General features: G+C 42.1%; 1 long non-coding RNA gene across 2 annotated transcripts in view, besides 2 other annotated features; it reads right to left on the reverse strand.

Moving 5' to 3' along the window:
• The window catches only part of LOC102724446 (uncharacterized), a 75,216-nt gene extending 63,807 nt beyond the window's left edge, over positions 1-11,409 (reverse strand). The window contains exons 1-2 of one of the 2 annotated variants that reach the window (NR_188589.1): positions 11,266-11,409; positions 6,410-6,490 (exon numbers count right to left, since the gene is read on the reverse strand). This is a non-coding gene — a long non-coding RNA (uncharacterized LOC102724446). Of the gene's footprint in view, positions 1-6,409; positions 6,491-10,402; positions 10,759-11,265 lie in introns of those variants that run through there. The other variant, NR_188590.1, reaches the window with a different exon arrangement.
• Positions 10,220-10,418: a silencer, noted in NCBI's record as "fragment chr1:247802967-247803165 (GRCh37/hg19 assembly coordinates)". NCBI's record gives its function as "represses an EF-1alpha promoter that drives an FKBP-Casp9 reporter gene in an ReSE screen in phorbol 12-myristate 13-acetate-treated (for megakaryocytic differentiation) K562 erythroleukemia cells {active_cell/tissue: K562(+PMA)}" and the evidence as "EXISTENCE:reporter gene assay evidence [ECO:0000049][PMID:32094911]".
• Positions 18,064-18,961: an enhancer, noted in NCBI's record as "OCT4-NANOG-H3K27ac-H3K4me1 hESC enhancer chr1:247810811-247811708 (GRCh37/hg19 assembly coordinates)". NCBI's record gives its function as "activates a minimal SCP1, AML or CMV promoter by ChIP-STARR-seq in naive H9 embryonic stem cells {active_cell/tissue: H9 hESC(naive)}" and the evidence as "EXISTENCE:reporter gene assay evidence [ECO:0000049][PMID:30033119]".

Raw genomic sequence — 21,215 nt, forward strand, 5'->3', positions numbered from 1 at the left:
GAGAGAGGTAATATCAAGGATTTAAGACTTTCTTTCCTACCTTCTTCAGTGTCTCTTTTATTAATGTGAGGTTAAAACCAGGTATTGTGAGTGCTCACTTGATTTTGGTTCTTATAAAGGTGGTTTGTTTTGTGTAGATGTGAAACTGGTAGAGGCAGGGGAGAAAATTAGTAGAGCCCTTTATTTGGCCATCTTATTCTTCCCCCTCAGTTTCTAGTTTAGATGGCATGCATGGAACTGCTTTTTGGTAATGTATTTGAGCAGAGACTATAACACATATAAGTAGAGATTGTCCTCCCCCCGCAGAAAAAACTTACATTTTATCCCATTGTGGATTTTTATGACTAAAATAATCTTAGTATAGATCAGTATACTTTTAAAAACACTGGTAACTATTCATTGTAGTCAATACCTAGGGAGATATAACAAACAGAGATGATCTGTGTCCTCAGCAAAGCTTAAAATTTACACTGTGAGTCCACATAAACACTTTCAATTAATTTGAACTATGCATTTATTTATTCATCACTTGCATGTATCGAATAAATGCTCTATATATTCTGCAGCACTGGTACTTTAAGTACTGATTGATACCCTTGTTAATATAAAAATAAATTCCTCTGCTTTCATGGAACTTACTTTCTGGTAGAAGAAGGCAAAATAGTCATATAAGGATATTAATGCAATAAAAGTGCAAAGAGCTATGAAGTAAATAAAAAAGCTATGAAGTATATAGTAGAATAAAGAATATAAATCCTTTGGGTATGTACCCAGTAATGGGAATGCTGGGTCAAAGGGTATTTCTGGTTCTAGATCCTTGAGGAATCACGACACTGTCTTCCATAATGGTTGAATTAATTTACACTCCCACTAACAGTGTAAAGGCATTCCTATTTCTCCACAACCTCTCCAGCATCTATTGTTTCCTCACTTTTTAATTATCACCATTCTAACTGGCATGAGATGGTATCTCATTGTGGTTTTGATTTGCATTTCTCTAATGACCAGTGATGATGAGCTTTTTTTTCATATGTTTGTTGGCTGCATAAATGTCTTCTTTTGAGAAGTGTCTGTTCATATCCTTGGTGCACTTTTTGATGGGGTTGTTTTTTTTCTTGTAAATTTGTTTAAGTTCTTTGTAGATTTGAGATATTTGCCCTTGGTCAGATGGATAGATTGCAAAAGTTTTCTCCCATTCTGTAGGTTGCCTGTTCACTCTGACGATAGTTTCATTTGCTGTGCAGAAACTCTTTAGTTTAATTAGATCCCATTTGTCAATTTTGGCTTTTGTTGTCATTGCTTTTGGTGTATTAGTCATGAAGTCTTTGCCCATGCCTATGTCCTGAATGGTATTGCCTAGGTTTTCTTCTAGGGTTTTTATGGTTTTAGGTCTTATGTTTAAGTCTTTAATCCATCTAGAGTTATTTTTTTGTATAAGGTGTAAGGAAGGAATCCAGTTTCAGCTTTCTGCTTATATCTAGTCATTTGTCCCAACACCATTTATTAAATATGGAATCCTTTCCCCATTGCTTGTTCTTGTCAGGTTTGTCAAAGATCGGGTAGTTGTTGATGTGTGGTGTTATTTCTGAGGGCTCTGTTTTGTTCCATTGGTCTGTATACCTGTTTTGGTAGCAGTGCCATGCTGTTTTGGTTACTGTAGCCTTGTAGTATAGTTTGAAGTCAGGTAGCATGATGCCTCCAGCTTTGTTCTTTTTGCATAGGATTGTCTTGGCTATGTGGGTTCTTTTTTGGTTCCATATGAAATTTAAGGTAGTTTTTTTTTTTTTCCAATTCTGTGAAGAAAGTCAGTGGCAGCTTGATGGGGATAGCATTGGATCTATAAATTACTTTGGGCAGTATGGCCATTTTCATGATCTTGATTTTTCCTATCCATGAGCATGGAATGTTTTTCCATTTGTTTGTGTCCTCTCTTATTTCCTTGAGCAGTGGTTTGTAGTTCTCCTTGAAGAGGTCCTTCACATCCCTTGTAAGTTGTGTTCCTAGGTATTTTATTCTCTTTGTAGCAGTTGTAAATGGGAGTTCACTCATGATTTGGCTCTCTGTTTGTCTGTTATTGGTGTATAAGAATGCTTGTGATTTTTGCACATTGATTTTGTGTCCTGAGATTTTGCTGAAGTTGCTTATCAAGCTTAAGGAGATTTTGGGCTGAGATGATGGGGTTTTCTAAATATACAATCGTATCATCTGCAAACAGAGACAATTTAAATTCCTCTTTTCGTAATTGAATACCATTTATTTCTTTTTCTTGCCTGATTGCCCTGGCCAGAACTTCCAATACTATGTTGAATAGGAGTGGAGAGAGAAGGCATCCTTGTCTTGTGCCTGTTTTCAAAAGGAATGCTTCCAGTTTTTGCCCATTCAGTATATTGGCTGTGAGTTTTTCATTAATAGCTCTTATTATTTTGAGATATGTTCCATCGATACGTCGTTTATTGAGAGTTTTCAGCATGAAGTGTTGTTGAATTTTGCTGAAGGCCTTTTCTCCATCTATTGAGATAATCAGGTGGTTTTCGTCATTGGTTCTGTTGAAGTGATGGATTACGTTTATTGATTTGCATATGTTGAACCAGCCTTGCATCCTAGGGATGAAGCTACTTGATCATGGTGGATAAGCTTTTTGATGTGCTGCTGGATTCAGCTTGCCAGTATTTTATTGAGGATTTTCACATCGATGTTCATCAGGGATATTGGCCTGAAATTTTCTTTTTTGTTGTGTCTCTGCCAGGTTTTGGTATCAGGATGATGCTGGCCTCGTAAAATGAGTTAGGGAGGATTCCCTCTTTTTCTATTGTTTGCAATAGTTTCAGAAGGAATGGTACCACCTCCACTTTGTACCTCTGGTAGAATTCGGCTGTGTATCTGTCTGGTCCTGGACTTTTTTTGGTTAGTAGGCTATTAATTACTGCCTCAATTTCAGAACTTGTTATTGGTCTATTCAGGGATTTGACTTCTTCCTGGTTTAGTCTTGGGAGGGTGTATGTGTCCAGGAATTTATCCATTTCTTCTAGATTTTCTAATGTATTTACATAGAGGTGTTTATAGTATTCTCTGATGGTAGTTTGTATTTCTGTGGGATCAGTGGTGATAACACTTTTATCATTTTTTTGTGTTGTATTTGATTGTTCTCTTTTTTCTTATTAGTCTGGCTAGTGGTCTACTTATGTTGTTGATCTTTTCAAAAACCCAGCTCCTGGATTCATTGATTTTTTGAAGGCTTTTTCGTGTCTCTATCTCATTCGGTTCTGCTCTGACTTTAGTTATTTCTTGTCTTCTGCTAGCTTTTGAATTTGTTTGTTCTTGCTTCTCTAGTTCTCTTAATTGTGATGTTAGGGTGTTGATTTTAGATCTTTCCTTCTTTCTCTTGTGGGCATTTAGTGCTATAAATTTTCCTCTACACACTGCTTTAAATGTGTCCCAGATATTCTGGTACATTGTGTCTTTGTTCTCATTGGTCTCAAAGAACATCTGCCTTCATTTCATTATTTACCCAGTAGTCATTCAGGCACAGGTTGTTCAGTTTCCATGTAGTTATGTGGTTTTGAGTGAGTTTCTTAATATCGAGTTCTAATTTGATTGCACTGTGGTCTGAGAGACTGTTTGTTGTGATTTTCGTCCTTTCTCATTTGCTGAAGAGTGTTTTACTTCTAATTATGTGGTCAATTTTAGAATAAGTGCTATGTGGTGCTGAGAAGAATGTATATTCTGTTGATCTGGGGTGTAGAGTTCTGCAGATGTCTATTAAGTCCGCTTGGTCCAGCGCTGAGATCAAGTTCTGGATATCCTTGTTAATTTTCTGTCTCATTGATCTGTCTAATATTGACAGTGGGGTATTAAAGTCTCCCACTATTACAGTGTGGGAGTCTAAGTCCCTTTGTAGGTCTCTAAGAACTTGCTTTATGAATCTGGGTGCTCCTATATTGGGTGCATATACATTTAGGATAGTTAGTTCTTATTGTTGCATTGATCCCTTTACCATTACGTGATGCCCTTCTTTGTCTCTTTTGATCTTTGTTGGTTTAAAGTCTGTTTTGTTAGAGATTAGGATTTCAACTCCTGTTTTTTTGTTTTTTGTTTTTTTGCTTTCCATTTGCTTGGTAAACATTCCTCCATCCCTTTATTTTGAGCCTATGTGTGTCTTTGCACATGAGATGAGTCTCCTGAATACAGCACACTGATGGGTCTCGACTCTTTATCCAATTTGCCAGTCTGTGTCTTTTAATTGGGGCACTTAGCCCATTTACATTTAAGGTTAATATCGTTATGTGTGAATTTGATCTGCCATTATGATGCTAGCTGGTTATTTTGCCCGTTAGTTGATGCAGTTTTTTCATAGTGTCGATGGTCTTTACATTTTGGCATGATTTTGCAGTGGCTGGTACCAGTAGTTCCTTTCCATGTTTAGTGCTTCCTTCAGGAGCTCTTGTAAGGCAGGCCTGGTGGTGACAAAACCTCTCAGCATTTGCTTGTCTGTAAAGGATTTTATTTCTCCTTCGCTTATGAAGCTTAGTTTGGCTGGATATGAAATTCTGGGTAGAAAATTCTTTTCTTTAAGAATGTTGAATATTGGCCCCTACTCTCTTCTGGCTTGTAGGGTTTCTGCAGAGAGATCTGCTGTTAGTCTAATGGGCTTCCCTTTGTGGGTAACTCGACCTTTCTCTCTGGCTGCCCTTAACATGTTTTCCTTCATTTCAACCTTGGTGAATGTAATGATTATGTGTCTTGGAGTTGCTCTTCTCGAGGAGTGTCTTTGTGGTGTTCTCTGTATTTCCTGAATTTGAATGTTGGCCTGTCTTGCTAGGTTGGGGAAGTTCTCCTGGATAATATCCTGAAGAGTGTTTTCCAACTGGGTTCCATTCTCCTCATCACTTTCAGAAACACCAATCAAACCTGGATTTGGTCTTTTCACATAGTACCATATTTCTTGGGGGCTTTGTGCATTTCTTTTCACTCTTTTTTCTCTAATCTTGTCTTTTTGCTTTATTTCATTGAGTTCATCTTCAATCTCTGATATTCTTTCTTCCGCTTGATCGATTTGGCTATTGATACTGGTGTATGCTTCACGAAGTTCTCATGCTGTGTTTTTCAGCTCCATCAGGTCACTTATGTTCTTTTCTAAACTGGTTATTCTAGTTAACAATTCATCTAACCTTTTTTCAAGGTTCTTAGCTTCCTTGAATTGGGTTAGAACATGCTCCTTTAACTTGGAGGAGTTTGTTACTACCTACTTCTGAAGACTACTTCTGTCAATTCATCACTCATTCTCCATCCAGTTTTGTTCCCTTGCTGGCGAGGAGTTGTGATCCTTCGCAGGAGAAGAGGTTTTCTAGTTTTTAGAACTTTCAGCCTTTTTGTGCTGGTTTCTCCCCATCTTCATGAATTTATCTACCTTTGGTCTTTGATGTTGGTAACCTTCAGATGGCGTCTCTGAGTGGATGCCCTTTTTGTTGATGTTGATACACTCCCTTTCTGTTTGTTAGTTTTCCTTCTAACAGTCAGGCCCCTCTGCTGCAGGTCTGTTGGAGCTTGTTGGAGGTCCACTCCAGACCCTGTTTGCCTGGGTATTACCAGCGGAGGCTGAAGAACAGCAAAGACTGCTGCCTGTTCCTTCCTCTGGAAACTTTGTCCCAGAGGGACACCCACCAGATGGCAGCTGGAGCTCTCCTGTATGAGGTGTCTGTCAGCCCCTACGGGGAGGTGTCTCCCAGTCAGAATGCACTGGGGTCAGGGACCCACCTGAGGAGGCAGTGTGTCCCTTATCATAGCTTGAAGGATGTGCTGGGAGATCTGCTGTTCTCTTCAGAGCTGTCAGGCAGAGACGTTTAAGTCTGCTGAAGCTGCTCCCACAGCCACCCCTTCACCCAAGTGTCTGTCCCAAGGACTTATAGATGCCTTTTTTTTCAGAGATGTCCAAAGAGGAGGAATCTAGAGAATGCCATTGTCTTAAATAGCATTTTCAGGGTTGACATTGTGCAGTAGCTGAAATTTAGGCAAAAGCTTAAAGGAGGTAAGGGAATTGGTCCTAAGCTATTTAGTGGAAGAATGTTCCAGACAGAGAAACATGTGCAAAGTCCCTAGGTAAAAGCCGCCTGGCATGTTCCAAGAACGAGGAAGAGATTGGCATAGCTGGAGGGGAGTGAGTGAGGGCCAGGGAAGTGGAACACGCAGGTGAAGAGGCAGCTGAGTAGCAGATCACCATGGAGGAAAGAGGGGCCCACTGCAGGGCTGTGAGGAGTGATGTGATCTGACCGATTATTTTACAGTGCCCTTCTAGCTGCCCTGTAGAAGGTCGAAGGAAGAACTGGGAAGGACCATTGTGGGCTGTTGGAACAATCCTGGCAAGAGACAATGGTGGCTCTGGCTGGCATGGGAGGGTGTGGGAGGGGCTTACCTGATGCTCTGTGATGGTTTGTGTCTCTCTCATGAGGGTGTGTGCATTTCCTCAACACCTGGCAGCAGCGGAATGTTGGATCTATTTAAGATAAATATTAACAGCCTGATTATTATAGGTGTTATTATTCCAACAATAACCAGTACCCTAATTCTCTTATTCCAGCTCAGTGTCCAACAATTCTGTCCAGTTCTGACACTAGCCGGAGTTAGCGCTGACCCCAGGGGTTAAGGGCTCAGTTCCCCAAGACCACCTCCACTTCATATGCAGGCCAGAAATGGGGTCCTCAGGCTATTTACACTTCTGCCTAGCTCACTAAAAATGTGAGGGTTGGTAGTTTGTTTCAAACTATGACTCCATCACTCCTGTCCCCAGGTTTGAGAATTTTCTAGAATGGCTCATTCCTCAGGAAAGCGCTTTACTTACAGTCACAGTTTATCTTAAAGGATACAGTTTAAGAGCAGCCAAATGGAAGAGATGTACAGGGTAAGGGGTGGGGTGGGGATGGAGGTTCCCTGTCTTCTCTGGGGGCACTAGCACCTCAATGTATTCACCATCCTGGAAGCTCAGCCTCGCTGTTTCAGGAGTTTTACTGAAGTTTCATTACATAGGCATGATTGATGGCAATTGGTGGTGATTGGACTCAATCTCCAGCCCTTGTCCCCTCCCTGCAGATCAGGGGGTAGGGCTGAGAGTTCAGCCCTCTATTCATGTGGTCGGTTGCCCTGGCCACCAGCACCCATCTAGAAGCTATGTAAGGGCCATCTAGAGTCACCTCTTAGCATTAACTCAGGTAAGATCAAAAGGGGCTGTTTATGAATAATGGAAGAAACTCCTATCACTCAGGAAATTCCAAGAATTTCAGGTGCCTTTTTGCCAGGAATCAAGGGCAAAGACCAAATAGATAAACATTTTGACCCTAACTTTTGAGACAGGGTCATGTCAGAGCTCAAGCGATCCTCCTGCTTCAGCCTCCCAAGTAGCTGGGACTAAGGTGCATGCACTCATACCCGGGTAATTTTTTTTTTCATTTTTTGTAGAGATGGGGTCTCCCTTTGTTGTCCAGCCTGGTCTTAAATTCCTGGCATCAAGGGTTCCTCCAGCATCAGCTTCCCAAACTGTTACAATTACAGGTGTGAGCCACTGCATCTGGCCCAAATATATATTTTTGATGATAACACAATGGGAGTATCAAAAATTCAGATGGGAGAGCAGAGTCCATTGTTCAGAAGAACAGCAGATCAGTGAAGTCCAAGTGTCTGAAAACCAACCCAGGCAGGGAAGAGTAGGTGGGCAGTTGGAGGGCCAAGAAAACTAACAGCCTGATGTGGCTGATGAAGGACGGAAGTGGATGTGGGCTTTCAGCCATGAGCAGTTGGCAATAACTTAGAAGTAGAGCCTGGGTGCGGAGAAGGAGCAAGTAGATTTGCAATTTTTCAACCTCTCCTAGGTTTCAGGAGTTCATGAGTGTAAATAAGTTCATGAATGTCCAGGCATATTCACATGCATAGCTCCATGTCTCCAAATCTTCACTTGCTTGACAAGATCTTAATCCCATGTTTCTCTTGTCTCCTTAAATTCCTCCTCAGCTATTTCTGGGTGTCCTTGGAATGGTGATGTCTCAACATGGGCTTGGGAACACGTTTGCTCCTCTTCTTTCCACTTGAGTCCAGGGGCCTTGCCATGGCCTCTGCACTTGGTGCTCTTTGAAAGACATGATTCCTGTGCACCCAACAGACCCCTGTGAAACAGGAATAAAAATGTCTCATAGGATGTCAGTGAAGATTCAATAAGATAGTGTTTATAAAGCACTGAGATTAAATAAGAATGTTTGATTCCTACTAAAAGCTCAATTAATGGCTGGGGTTATTATTATTACTGTTCTTATTGTTAGGCATGGTTTTGAATTCCTCACCATCCTAATTGCCACTTAAAATGAACAACTGTCTTTGTGGATACAATTTCAGAGGCAGCATGGGGACTAACTTTTCCAGAACATGAACCTAGTGCCTCCTACAGTGGTAGAAATTAAAATCCTGTGTGAAAACACAAATATGCTTGGGAGAGTTACTGATTGCCAAGAAAGCTCTTTAGTTTCCTTTCTGTGTGAAGAAGCAAGCAGGGCTCAAGGGGCCCTACCAAGGCCATGGAGAATGGTAAGTGCTGCTCACAGCCACCCAGTCTGCGTTCTCCTTTCTAAAGGAGGTCTAAAGAGGTGGGAGTGAATCAGTTTAGTTTGCAAACACACACACACACACACACACACACACACACACATATGAAAATATGCAAGACGGAATCCCAGGGCCACTTTGGGGTGAGACCTTCCCCATGAGCAGGAAGGATGTTGAGGAACTGGAGCAGAGCCCAGGCGGGAAGAAGAACCAACAAGGTCACGTGGCAGCTTGATCTGGCTGGGAACTGAGCTCTGCAGTGTGCTTGGGAATATAAACAATGGGGACAGAAAAGAAAAAAAAAAGATTTCATTAGAAATGTAAAATCAACCAGGAGGGCAGCTCTGTCCTGCTGGGGCATAAAGCCATGGTGGAGGCCCAGGAAAGTTCTGTTGATGGAAAACAGTATCTGGGCATTTGGCAGCAACAGATGACTTAGATATGTTCCCTTGATTTCAGTACTCTCACTTTTATATTGAAATTATGCTATTTGATTTCTCAGCACCTGGTAGAGTGCCTGCACAAGGACTGTGCAGTTAGCATTTGCTGAACTTCACAGAATTGGGGATGGGGTGGAGAAAAGAGCAGAGCCCATCACGAGAGGGAGGTAAAGTTGAGATAAAGAAGTTTGAGATGCTCTAGACACCCTTTGCGTACTTCACCTTTTTTTCTGGCATTAGCCTTGAGCATTAAGATGCAAAGTAAAAGCGAAGGAAAAGGAAGAGGCCTGGAGTGAGGATAGTGCATGGAGCTCATCCTCATGAAATTCTTCTCTGGTTGCTGTTCCCATGAGGTTATGCGATGCCTGAGCCCAGGAACTGTGCTCCTGGGTCCTGATACCAGTGCCCAGCCCATAGCGGGGGATCCCCATTTTATGATAAGAATAAATGAGCACCTCCCAGATCGGTGACTTGCTCCACCCCACAATAACCCCGGGAGGAGGGTGTGGTCAGTCCAGCTGTACAGGTGAGAAAGTGAGCTGGGAGCTGTGACTTATCCACACCCTCTCAGCAGCAGTTGTGACAGCTGGGGTCACACAGTTGATTCACTGCCATAGGGGAAAAGTGGAGGAGGGAGAGGGGCAGAGAGCGAAGAACAACTCAGGAAAATGAAGGAAAAGCAGAGGCAGAGAGCGAAGAACAACTCAGGAAAATGAAGGAAAAGCAGAGGAGAAATTAACTGACTGGAAAAATGACAATAGTTGGAAGACAGACGAAAAAGGGACGAGTGCATCAGAGTGTATTTTGGCACTTATTACTCTATCTCCTTTTTATACTACTTCGCTTTTTCAACTTAATAGTTAAGGCACGTCGGTCTAGTCTTCCCCGAAGGGAGCTTGCCAGGCTCTGCGACAGGCTTGGAAGTTGGAGCCCGGGCCCTGGGTTCTCTCAGCTTCCAGCTCAGGAGGCGGAGTGGGAGGAGCGGGCCTGGCGGCCGTGGGGGCGGGGCTGCTCCACTAACGGTTACTGGTCGCTGCTGCCGCCGCGCTCCTCCCCCGGCTGCGGCAGAGGCGCGCGCCTGCGTCCTGAGGATCCCGCCCTTGGGCCGCCGGGAACCTCGCAGAGCGGCGGGGTGGCCCTGGCGAGGCGCGGTTGTTGGGGGTTCGCTCGAGCCTCACGACGCCCGCGACTGGGGACTCGGAACCTGGGCCAGGCTGGGACGAGGCCGCGCGGGAGGGCGCGCTGGGCGGACGCTGGGGCCGCGGAGCCCAACCGCCCTTGTCCTGGACGCCCCTTGGCGGTCCGCACTGGCGGGTGCCCTCTCCCGAGGGGAACTGAGGCGGGGCGCCTGCCACCATTCGTGATTTTCCGTGACTCACCCTCTCAACAGTGTCCCGTCAGCCCCCGCTTTCTGGAATTAAGATGATTTTCCATGGGCATTATAGTCAGAGGAGGTTTTCTGTGAGACATCTGGGAAAGGTGACTCAATGATCACTCATATTGTTCTATGATGTTATACATTTAACCGGAATACTGGTGAACAGCTTTTATATCTTGGAATTTTTTCCCATTTTTGAATCAGAAATTTAGGACCAAGAATCTTCTGTCACAGAACCTATTACTTTGAGGAGTGAACTTATATTAACGGTGCTAAACCGTACATGAACGACTTGGTAGATGAAAACTTTGGAAAATAGGAACATTTCATGTCATCACATGTATCCTCCAGCATTGGGGAAAATTCAACAGTTGCCTTAAGGCGGGAGTTTAATTGAGGACATTTACTAAAAAGTTACTTATTCTGTTTGAAATTCTCTTCTGATAAACATCTTCCCGGGATAACGAACATCTCCAGGATGTGAGAGCCGAGCGCGTGTCCGCGGAGTGCTTGAGCAACGCAGAATGGCTTCGGTGCTGCGTTCCTTAGACCCCGTGCGGACCCTGCTGAGCCCTCAGCATCTGTGAGTGAGTCCCTCCGCGTCACCTTGGCCTCCCGTGTAGCTAGATCAGTCTTCCGACCCCTTGTTCTACTTGCACAGATTTCTGATTAACCTCTTCTGCTCCTCCAGAGATGAGTCAGGGCTCCGTATCAGCTCCCCAAGGCATTTGCTGGCTTCTGACATTTACTTGGAGGACTTTGGGCTGCGAAAGGGCAAAGTTTGCCGTTCTCATCTCTTTTTTTGGTGCCTGCCCCCGGGTCTTGACCTTTCTCTGGAGTCTTCTCTCCTGGTTCTTTACCCACCTCTTTGGTTTCTCCTGTGGTTCTTTGTCAAGGTGTCCCCTAGATGTCACACTCTGAGGCTCAGTTGTGGCTGAGTCTTGCATTGCAAGTGTTTTTGCAGGTGTCTCTGCGAAGCGTGGATATGGGATGGTGAAAGTGGCAGTGTGCACAGAGTGTTTGGGATTAGATGGGCAGGTGGAAGGGCGTCTAGGTAGGACCCCTTTGTCCTGGTGTGAGGTAATGAGGTTCTAGAGTGTGCTGTCAAGGTGAAACTAAAAGGAAAGGATAGACAGGAGACTTTGTGAAAGACGAAATTATGGTAGTTTGGTAACAAATGGATGCAGGGACTGGTGGGTGGGTGTAGAAGAAGGCAGAAAATCTTGCCAAGGACATTGCAAGTCCTGAATCAGACCAGGAAAATTAAGGTTCAATTAACAGAAATAAGTCCAGAGGGGGAGCTAATTTTGGAGGAAGTGTGGTGATAAATTTGCTTTTCTATGTGGTCCAGCTGGTGGAGAGACATCAAGAAGCACTTAGAGAAATACAGGAAATAGAGAGGTGGGTGACCTAAGTCCTACTTCCTATCCTGTCTATGTATATATAACAAAGGCCAAATGAATTCATGTGTTGAGGTCTGCTTTCCTATTTCTAATAGCAATGGCATAAAATGAATTCTAGCCAATTCTAAAGTCACTAGTAGATAGTAATATTCACGAAGTAGCCACAAATCCAGGGCTCTAACTCAAGGGAGAGAGATCGGGACTGGAGATAGAATTTTCACAAGTAACTGATGCATGGCACTTTTCTGTATTTTGGTAAATGTATTGAGAAGATGATTGCAGTTAAGTAGCTAACTGTTCCAGATACTATCCGAGGCATGAATGATTTGTCCTGGAGTAGGTGTGCTGTGTCACTGTAGCATATCTACTACAACAGACATGATATGTTTCCATACATTATCTCATTTAACACTCAGAAGAACTTCAGGAGTAGTTATTACTAGTCCATTTTGCAGAAGCTTACAGATAAGATTCAGAGATGAAGCATCAGGTCTATCTGATTTAAACCCAGGTCTATCTGATTTCAAAGTCGATGGACTTTTTGTTATTTCATACCATAATCTGTCAGGGTGTGAGTGGGGGATAAAAGAAAGTTAAACAAAACTCTTGGAAACAGAGAGGAAGGGCTTAAACCATTAAAATTAACTTCAGAAGTCAAGAATGAAGCTCGGGCAGAAAACAAGTAGAGGGCACAGTTCTGTCCCGATTTACAGAGGATGGGTTTGCGACCTTTCTGATGCATTAACTTAGTAATGCTAAGGTGTGCCATCCAAAACGATCACCTGTATATAAGCCACTCTTTCACAGAGGTGGGTTTTTCTTTTCTTTTTTAATTCCCATGCTGCTCAAAACCTTTTAGATTTGAATTATTGGGAAGAATATCTCAGGGTAGGCAGGAAGCCAAAGGGGTTGAGAGCTGCTTGTCACTTGCTGGTTTTGCTTGGTATGGGCTCGGTCAGCAGTAGGGACTTCCTTAGTCCTCAGTCTTTCTAGGTTAACTACCACCCTCTTGGTCCTTGTTTCTGTTTTGCTTTTCCTGGCTTGGACATGGAATTTGTAAGTGCCACACATTATTTCCTGTCCCATGACCATACTTAAGCTATAAATTATAGTTTTGTTTCTTCCTGATCCTTTTCCTTCAACACCAAATGTGTTTGTGCCTCAAACCAGGAAGTTGGAAATGTTATTTAACTTTCCTGCATTTTAATTGGTCACAAATCTCTCCCCTTACACACACGCCCCCAACTTTTGAGGAGTCTTGAGAATCTCCTTAACGTCCTTGACAGTTGATCAATGAAAGACATGTAGGGAGATCCAGATTGCAATGAATATTGTATTATTTGCTTAAGAATTTGAAGAGTTATTGCTTCGTAGTAAATGAAGATGAGCATATTGAGGTTTATAAGGGAGGCTGAGGTTCACTTGGCCAGAGATTCAGATGTTCACTTTATTTTATAATCATCCTTTTTAAAAAACAAAATAGACTGACATGGGCAACTTTCTCAAGATTTCATATGGCACATTGCATGTAGGGATAAACAGTACCAACATTATTTGCTTGGAGTGCTTTAGGATCGAGGAATGGGGAAGCCTAAGCAAAACCCCCAAATCTTGGCAAGCTCAGGAGGAGGGAGCAGATAGCACTGCTGGGGTGATCTGTGCTGCTTGAATGCTCTTTTGGAGAATCACTTCCCTGTAGATAGGCCACAGATTACAGTTTACCAAAAGCATTGACTGTCAGACCCACATAGCTGGTTTCCATTAACATGGTTTTGCTCTAGGTCTTTTTCAAGTCCTCTTTTTTTGTTTGTTTGTTTTTTCTTTTTTCTTTTTTTTTGAGACGGAGTTTCGCTCTTGTTGCTCAGGCTGGAGTGCAATGGCGTGATCTCGGCTCACTGCAACCTCTGCCTTCAGGGTTCAAGCGATTCTCCTGCCTCAGCCTCCCGAGTACCTGGGATTACAGGCGCCTGCCAGCACGCCTGGCTAATTTTGTATTTTTAGTAGAGATGGGATTTCACCACGTTGGCCAGGCTGGTCTTGAACTCCTGACCACAGGTCATCCACCTGCCTCGGCCTCCCAAAGTGCTGGGATTACAGGCATGAACCACCATGCCCGGCCTCAAGTCCTCTTTTAAACGTGGAAACTTCTTCCTGCATTACACAGTTCTTTTCTCACCCTCTTCCTGCCTCCCTTCCTTTCACTATACCTTAGCTATACTGAATTGGACATATAATTCTTAGCTCATGCATGGCTTTCTTTTAATAATTAGCTAAACAATAGCATGGTCATATATGATGATATCACCCAACCAGAGAATAACAACATTGTCCGTATTTACCTCTGTACATTTTCTCTGCAGCCTGTATGCCTGTCTCTCTTACCTCTTTGTGCTGATTGTTCTGTTGCCTTTTTTGTAGTTTTCATAGTTTCGTCAGTGTGCATGTATTTATACATTTATGTATGTATGTATATGTGTTGTTTGTGTATATATGTTCACATGTATGTGTAGCCTAAATATAGCACCTAAACAATATTCTATTTACTTTTAGTCATTTATGAACTTCATAAGAAGCTTATTATTCTGTATAGAGCAACTTGGAGCTAGCTTATTTCACTCAGTAGTATGTTATTAATATCCAACTGTGTGTACAGTTTAATTTGTTTTTCCTTGCTGCCTATTATTCCACTTGATTATGTCACATAATTTGGGTCGTTTGTAAATTTTTGTTGTGAGCAACAGTCCTCATATGAATCTTCTTATACATGTTTGTGAAGCACCGGTGCAAGGCATCAACTAGTTCTAAGAGGCTTGCTTTAAAATTTAGTGGGAATATGTACATGAAAATGAGAACTGGCCAGGAGCGGTGGCTTATGCCTGTAATCCCAGCACTTTGGGAGGCCAAGGCAGGTGGATCATGAGGTCAGGAGATCAAGACAATCCTGGCCAACATGGTGAAACCCTGTCTCTACTAAAAATACAAAAATTAGCTGGGCGTGGTAGCAGACACCTGTAATCCCAGCTACTTGGGAGGCTGAGGCAGGAGAATTGCTTGAACCCAGGAAATGGAGGTTGCAGTGAGCCGAGATTGCGCCACTGCACTCCAGCCTGGCGATAGAGCAAGACTCCGTCTCAAAAAAAAAAAAAAAAAAAAGAACTGTAGCAGCATGCTCAGATGTGTGATTCAGAAGTGAAGCTAGAATGAAGATGATGTAGAGAAAGCCAGGAGGCCAGATGGGAGATTGTTATAAAGCCAGGAGATGTTGAGAGTTAGTATGATTGGAAATGGAGAAGAGCAAGTTAGATTTGAGGGAGATTGGAGGATGGACATGCTGGGGCCTAGAGGTTAATGGCACATGTGACTGAGAGAGAGACAGACAGACATTTTCCCCATGCTTTCCAGCTGAAGTGCCTAGGTAGATGGTGATACTATTAAATGAGGTACAGAATAGAGATGAGAGATAAGTATTGGAAGGGAGCCAGCCTTGGAGGGGATTAGTGTGAGTTGGGTGGTAGTTGGAAATGTAGAATTTTTGGAATGGTGAAGGATGTCCTTTACACCCTGTCAAGGAAGTGTAGGTTAGAAACGTGGTCCTTCAGGTGAGATTTTGAGTCATGTTCTGCAGACTGTTGACCTGTAAGAGGTCAGCCCATAGGAACACACAGGAATGGACACTGATGGGGAGAAGGCTGATCTGGCTTATTGACCATAGTTTTCAAAAAAGGCACTCGATTGCCTGCTCCTGTGCATCACAGTGACACCTGTGGTACCCTGCCTTTATGTGAAACGGAAAAATCTCCAAAGGAAAGCAGACATCAAGGTCTTTTTCTGGAAAGTCATTTCAGGGAAGTTATAGACCAAAGCAGCTCAGAGATGGGAAGCCTCATTTGTCCCTTTCTTCCACATTACTCCCCTTTTTAAATAGCCACCTCTGTGGCAGTGTATTCCAAAGTATACATCTAGTAATGCCTTCCTACAGGATGATCTTTGAAAATAAATTTAAAAAAAAGCTGCTAAAATGTGGGAAATACTATTTAGTATAATCCTTTCCAAGAAAGTTGCTATACATATTAATATGTTAAATGTCCTAAAAACTAAATTATTCCACCACTTTTTTTGTTCTCTAATATCTGTAGAGGTCTCAGAGAAAGCTGTTATGAGTGATATACTTTAGAAATGGAAAGAATGGTTTGTTTATGTTAATTATCCTGATTCATCATTAAAATTTAAATTATGTTAAAAATGTGTATTTTTATCTATTTGTAATTATTTAAGAAAAAATCTTTGATCTTTCCATTAAAAATATTTTTGGACGGGCTGGGCGCGGTGGCTCACGCCTGTAATCCCAGCACTTTGGGAGGCTGAGGTGGGCGGATCACGAAGTCAGGAGATGGAGACCATCCTGGCTAACAGGGTGAAACCCCGTCTCTACTAAAAATACAAAAAATAGCCAGGCGTGGTGGTGGGCGCCTGTAGTCCCAGCTACTCAGGAGGCTGAGACAGGAGAATGGCGTGAACCCGGGAGGCGGAGCTTGCAGTGAGCCGAGATCGTGCCACTGCACTCCAGCCTGGGTGACAGAGCGAGACTCCGTCTCAAAAAAAAAAAAAAAAAAAAAAAGATTTGGACTGAATTTCTGTTCTCTGGAATATTTGCTTCTCCTGAGCAAGTTTCTTCTCAGTAAGAACAGTTAATAAACATTACTTCATGAGTGAAAAGAATTTTGAGGTAAAGTTTTGAATTGACAGTATTACGGACAATATTATTTTTTATACATTTTCCTTTCTTTTTCTTTCAGTTATCTGGATTAGAGATCTGATTTTCAAAAGTTGTCATGTTTTTGTAAACCTTCAACCAAAAGGCTTAAAAGGAGAAGGTATAATTTTAACTTTACCAGGAGTATATGCTGTATTTACTTGCATAAAGACAGAAAACAGCCCTGGTTTCTCTGTGTCACTTGTTGTCATTTATAAGCTTTGGCTGGAGGGGAGCAATGTCAAGGTGCATGGCAGCTGGTGTTAGAGCTGCTGTTCAGTGAGCTATCCCAGAATGCAGGGATGTATTTAGTTTGTCATGACTGGGTCAGGTGGAGCAGGCATGCTTCTCAGAACTTGATGAAAGTTTGGAATACCCAGAAACTGAGCTCACCATCTGCCAGAGATATGTCTACCTTATCTCTGAGTTTTATGCCCCTTCAACATCTCTAAAACTCTTTGATATCAGAGAGGCCAATGGAATCAATATGTAATTCCTCACTGTTATTTATGGACTACTGAGGACAGCCACAAGCTTTTCTAGGATCCTGGTGCTCTGCTTAAAAATAAAAAAAAATTAATATGATTTAAAATAAAGGCAACAACAACAGTGGCCTTTGGGCCCTCCCATAAGTACAGATAACAAGTAGTTGGGTAGAGTGACCATAATAAATACCCATCTCACTAAGCCTTAGTATTCATCTTGCTATACTTTGACACAGAAGTTCTAGCATCTCATACTCATTTACTATAGGCCTCCTTTAAGTCCGGATTTCAATTAGTCAACATAGAAGACTATGAATGCTCTTTTCAGACACTTAAACCAACATATTAAGTTATAAATCCTTCAGGAGTATACCCATGGTAATGAATATTACCATATTTAGTCTTATATTACATCTTCTTTTGTCTAAAAGCCATAGAATGTACATCCATAGTTGTTCCTCGGACTTATGCCAAGAAAAATGTCAAGACCTACAGCTCTCTTAGTACATGAGCCATATTCCTCAGTGCATGTTCTCTACTTCTCCTTCTCTGCGAAGCTGGATCTCAATCTCCTATGCTTTAGAGGAAGTGAAAGATGCTGGCAAACATGGGAATAACTTACCCAGTTGAAGCAAACGAAAAGACTTACGTATAGAGTTGCTGATTGTCTCAAATCAGGGTGGGGGGTATGAAATTCTTACACCCAAAAGTAATGTTCAGTGTTTTCAGTTTCAAAGTTGCCACTCTTGTCTTTGTTTATATAACTGTCTGCAACCCATTTCTCAGGATCACACTCCTCCCAATCCATGTCTTTCCTGTAGCACAAGAGAACTTGGATGGTCACATATTCAATTGGTAATGTAACTCTGTATCCTTCCAAATTAATCTAGGCTTATCAGTCTAAAGTTATTATAAAGTTATAAAGGCGAGCAAACCAATTCAAGGACCCACTTTGATGTGTTTTGTGAGGTTCTTAGGGTCTCTATTGGAGAATTAATTGGGAGCTGGTAGAAAACAGATGGCCTGCGCAAAGGAGTTGAGAAGAGATTTTAATGAAAGAACATGGTTATTTACACATGGTTATTAAGGTTAAGAGATCCAACAAGCAATAATGTCACATAATAGAATTAACAAGATGAAATCTGAATGGGTAAGAAGAAAGAGTGGTTTTATTGACTGACAATGGTAGCTGTGAACTTAGGCAAAGGAAGAGGGCAATTGCCAGACCATAGGCTGGCAGGAAGAAGTAGAGTTAAATATTCTGACCTCTCCTTCCACCCTCCAATATTCTGATGATATACGAAAAACAGCAACAACAAGACAACTTTGTGGTGGGGGAACAAAGAAAAAGCATCGGTTATTACCCAACAACTTTAACTCAAAATGTGATTGCTTTATTCTGATAGATACAGTTCCCAGAGTTACTCTCTTGAGGTAGTCTAGTTTCTCTCATTTGACACTCACTTGGCCTCCCAGTGAGAGTTCTTAAAAATTATAATAGGGGTAGGTGAAAGCCACAGGGGCTGAGCAATGGTTTAAATAGTCTCTCACAAAATACAAAAGACCGGGGAAGAGGGATTTGAAAGCAGCTTTGTTTTCTTTACTTGGCAACTTCCTGGAGCTTGGATCCCTGCCAGTTAAACCTCTGCTCTGGGTGTGCCAGGGGACTTGTTAGAGTGCTACAATATACCAGTTAAAAAGTTTTAATTAAATAGAGGAAACGACAAGCAATGGCACCTGCAGTTGGGATCCCAGGAGGAGAAGAACTTGTTATAATATCCTTTGGGTTTCTAACTTAGCTCTCCCTGGCATTCTGGACAGTAATGAAGCCCCAAGTTCATTCAAAGGCATCTTGGCAACAGTGAAATCAGACAAATTTTGACAAAAAGTTTAAGGTTTCACCTGGGACCAGATGCAATTCTCATACAAAGTGCTGGACTATCTGCTTATTATTAAACACACTGTGTCTGTATTTGTGAATAGGAAGACAATAGTGTGTTCCATTAATTTGAGGTAGAACAGCAAAATGAGTCCCTCTTGATAGCTTTGGGCTCATTTAACAACCATGCTTATGTTCCATGACGTTTATCCACATATGATTATTATTCACTGGAATAAACTGATCCTTCCGAGAATAGTCCTAGTTCCCTCATATAAGTACCAATTTCAGTATTTGGAAAACAATCCAGATTCATAACTGGAATCTTTCTTTTAGTATTGTGACTGTGTCTCAGCAGTTATAATAAAATTGTCACTGTACTAAAAATACCATTAATAATAAAGTGTGGAAAGACATATTCAGCTCTCTTCAAAAGTAGCTATTTGGTTATTTAAAGTTAGCTCATACGTTTTATGTATTTATAAAGCTCAAGATCTTGGGCTAGATTCTTAACAAAAAAGTTTTCAATTTGTTGAAAGGTTCAGTCAAGTCAGTGAAAAACAAAAATCCTAGGATAGATTGAATTGACTTATTTTAATCTACCAAATTATTTTTATCAGTTAAAGTGTTTTAATTTCTGCCCTCGTGTAGAGAAAAGTATTGATTAAACAAGAAAACTTCTTGAGTAACACAAACTCCATTGGTTTTGTTGATGCAGAAAGCAAAACTGTAAAATATTTGAAGAGGTTTATTTTGAGCCCATTGTGAATGACCATGGCCCATGACACAGTCTCAGGAGGTCCTGAGAACACGTGCCCAGGTAGCTGGGTTATAGCTCGCTTTTACACATTTTAGGGAGACAGGTGCCCAGGTAGCTGGGTTACAGCTCGCTTTTACACATTTTAGGGAGACAGATGCCCAGGTAGCTGGGTTACAGCTCGCTTTTACACATTTTAGGGAGACAGGTGCCCAGGTAGCTGGGTTACAGCTCGCTTTTACACATTTTAGGGAGACAGGTGCCCAGGTAGCTGGGTTACAGCTCGCTTTTACACATTTTAGGGAGACAGGTGCCCAGGTAGCTGGGTTACAGCTCGCTTTTACACATTTTAGGGAGACAGGTGCCCAGGTAGCTGGGTTACAGCTCGCTTTTATACATTTTAGGGAGACAGGTGCCCAGGTAGCTGGGTTACAGCTCGCTTTTACACTTTTTAGGGAGACAGGTGCCCAGGTAGCTGGGTTACAGCTCACTTTTACACATTTTAGGGAGACAGGTGCCCAGGTAGCTGGGTTACACCTCCCTTTTATACATTTTAGGGAGACAGCTTCCCAAGGTATCTGGGTTACAGCTCACTTTTACACATTTTAGGGAGACAGGTTCCCAAGGTAGCTGGGTTACAGCTTGCTTCTGTACACTTTAGGGAGACAGAAGTTACAGGCAGACATAAATCAATACATGTAAAGTGTACACTGGTTCGGCCCTGAAAGGTGAGACATCTAGAAGGTAGGGTGTGAGAGAGGGCTTTTCAGGTCCTGGGTGAATTCAAAGATTTCCAAAGATTGGCAATGGGTTGAAAAAGTTAAGTTTTGCCTGAGAAGAGTTGAAGTCAGCATAAAGAAATGCTTGAGTCAAGATGAGGGGGGTAGTGGAAGCCAAGGTTCTTGTTATGTCCGTGAAGCCTGTAAGTAACAGGCTTCAGAGAGAATGGATGGTAAATGTATCTTATCAGATCTTAAAAAAATCTGGGAAAGACCTGGTAAGTGAAGGAGATTCCCTACAGAATACAAATTCCTCTTACGAGAGAGGGCTTTGCAGGGACATTTCAAAATATGTCAAAGAGAATATATTTTGGGACAAAATACTTTGATTTCCTTCAAGGCCTGCTCTCTATCATGTGATCCCATACCAGAGTCAGGTCGGAGTTGGGTATCTCACTGCTACAAAGAATCTGTTTTGTCAGCCTTATGATCTCTAGTTTAGTGTTAATGCTGGTCCCTTGTGCCTAAACTCCACAGGGATGAGGGTATGTGTGACCCGCCTTTTCCATTATGGCCTGAGCTATTTCTTCAGGTTTCTTGGGATCCCCTTGGTTAAGAGGAGGATCCATTCAGTCACTTGGGGCACTCAGAATTTTATTTGTGCGTTACATTATCTCTCTTTCTTGCTGGCTTACATTATATTTCTTTCCTGCTACTTCAATGAGTATGCTCCTAACCTCAGTTACTTTTTATCATTTTCTACTCAATGTCCCACCTTCCCGACTGCTTAAAGATGTCTTTTGGATTGAAATATATCT

This window comes from Homo sapiens, chromosome 1 (genome assembly GCF_000001405.40).
Source record: "Homo sapiens chromosome 1, GRCh38.p14 Primary Assembly".
NCBI classification, from domain to species: domain Eukaryota; kingdom Metazoa; phylum Chordata; class Mammalia; order Primates; family Hominidae; genus Homo; species Homo sapiens.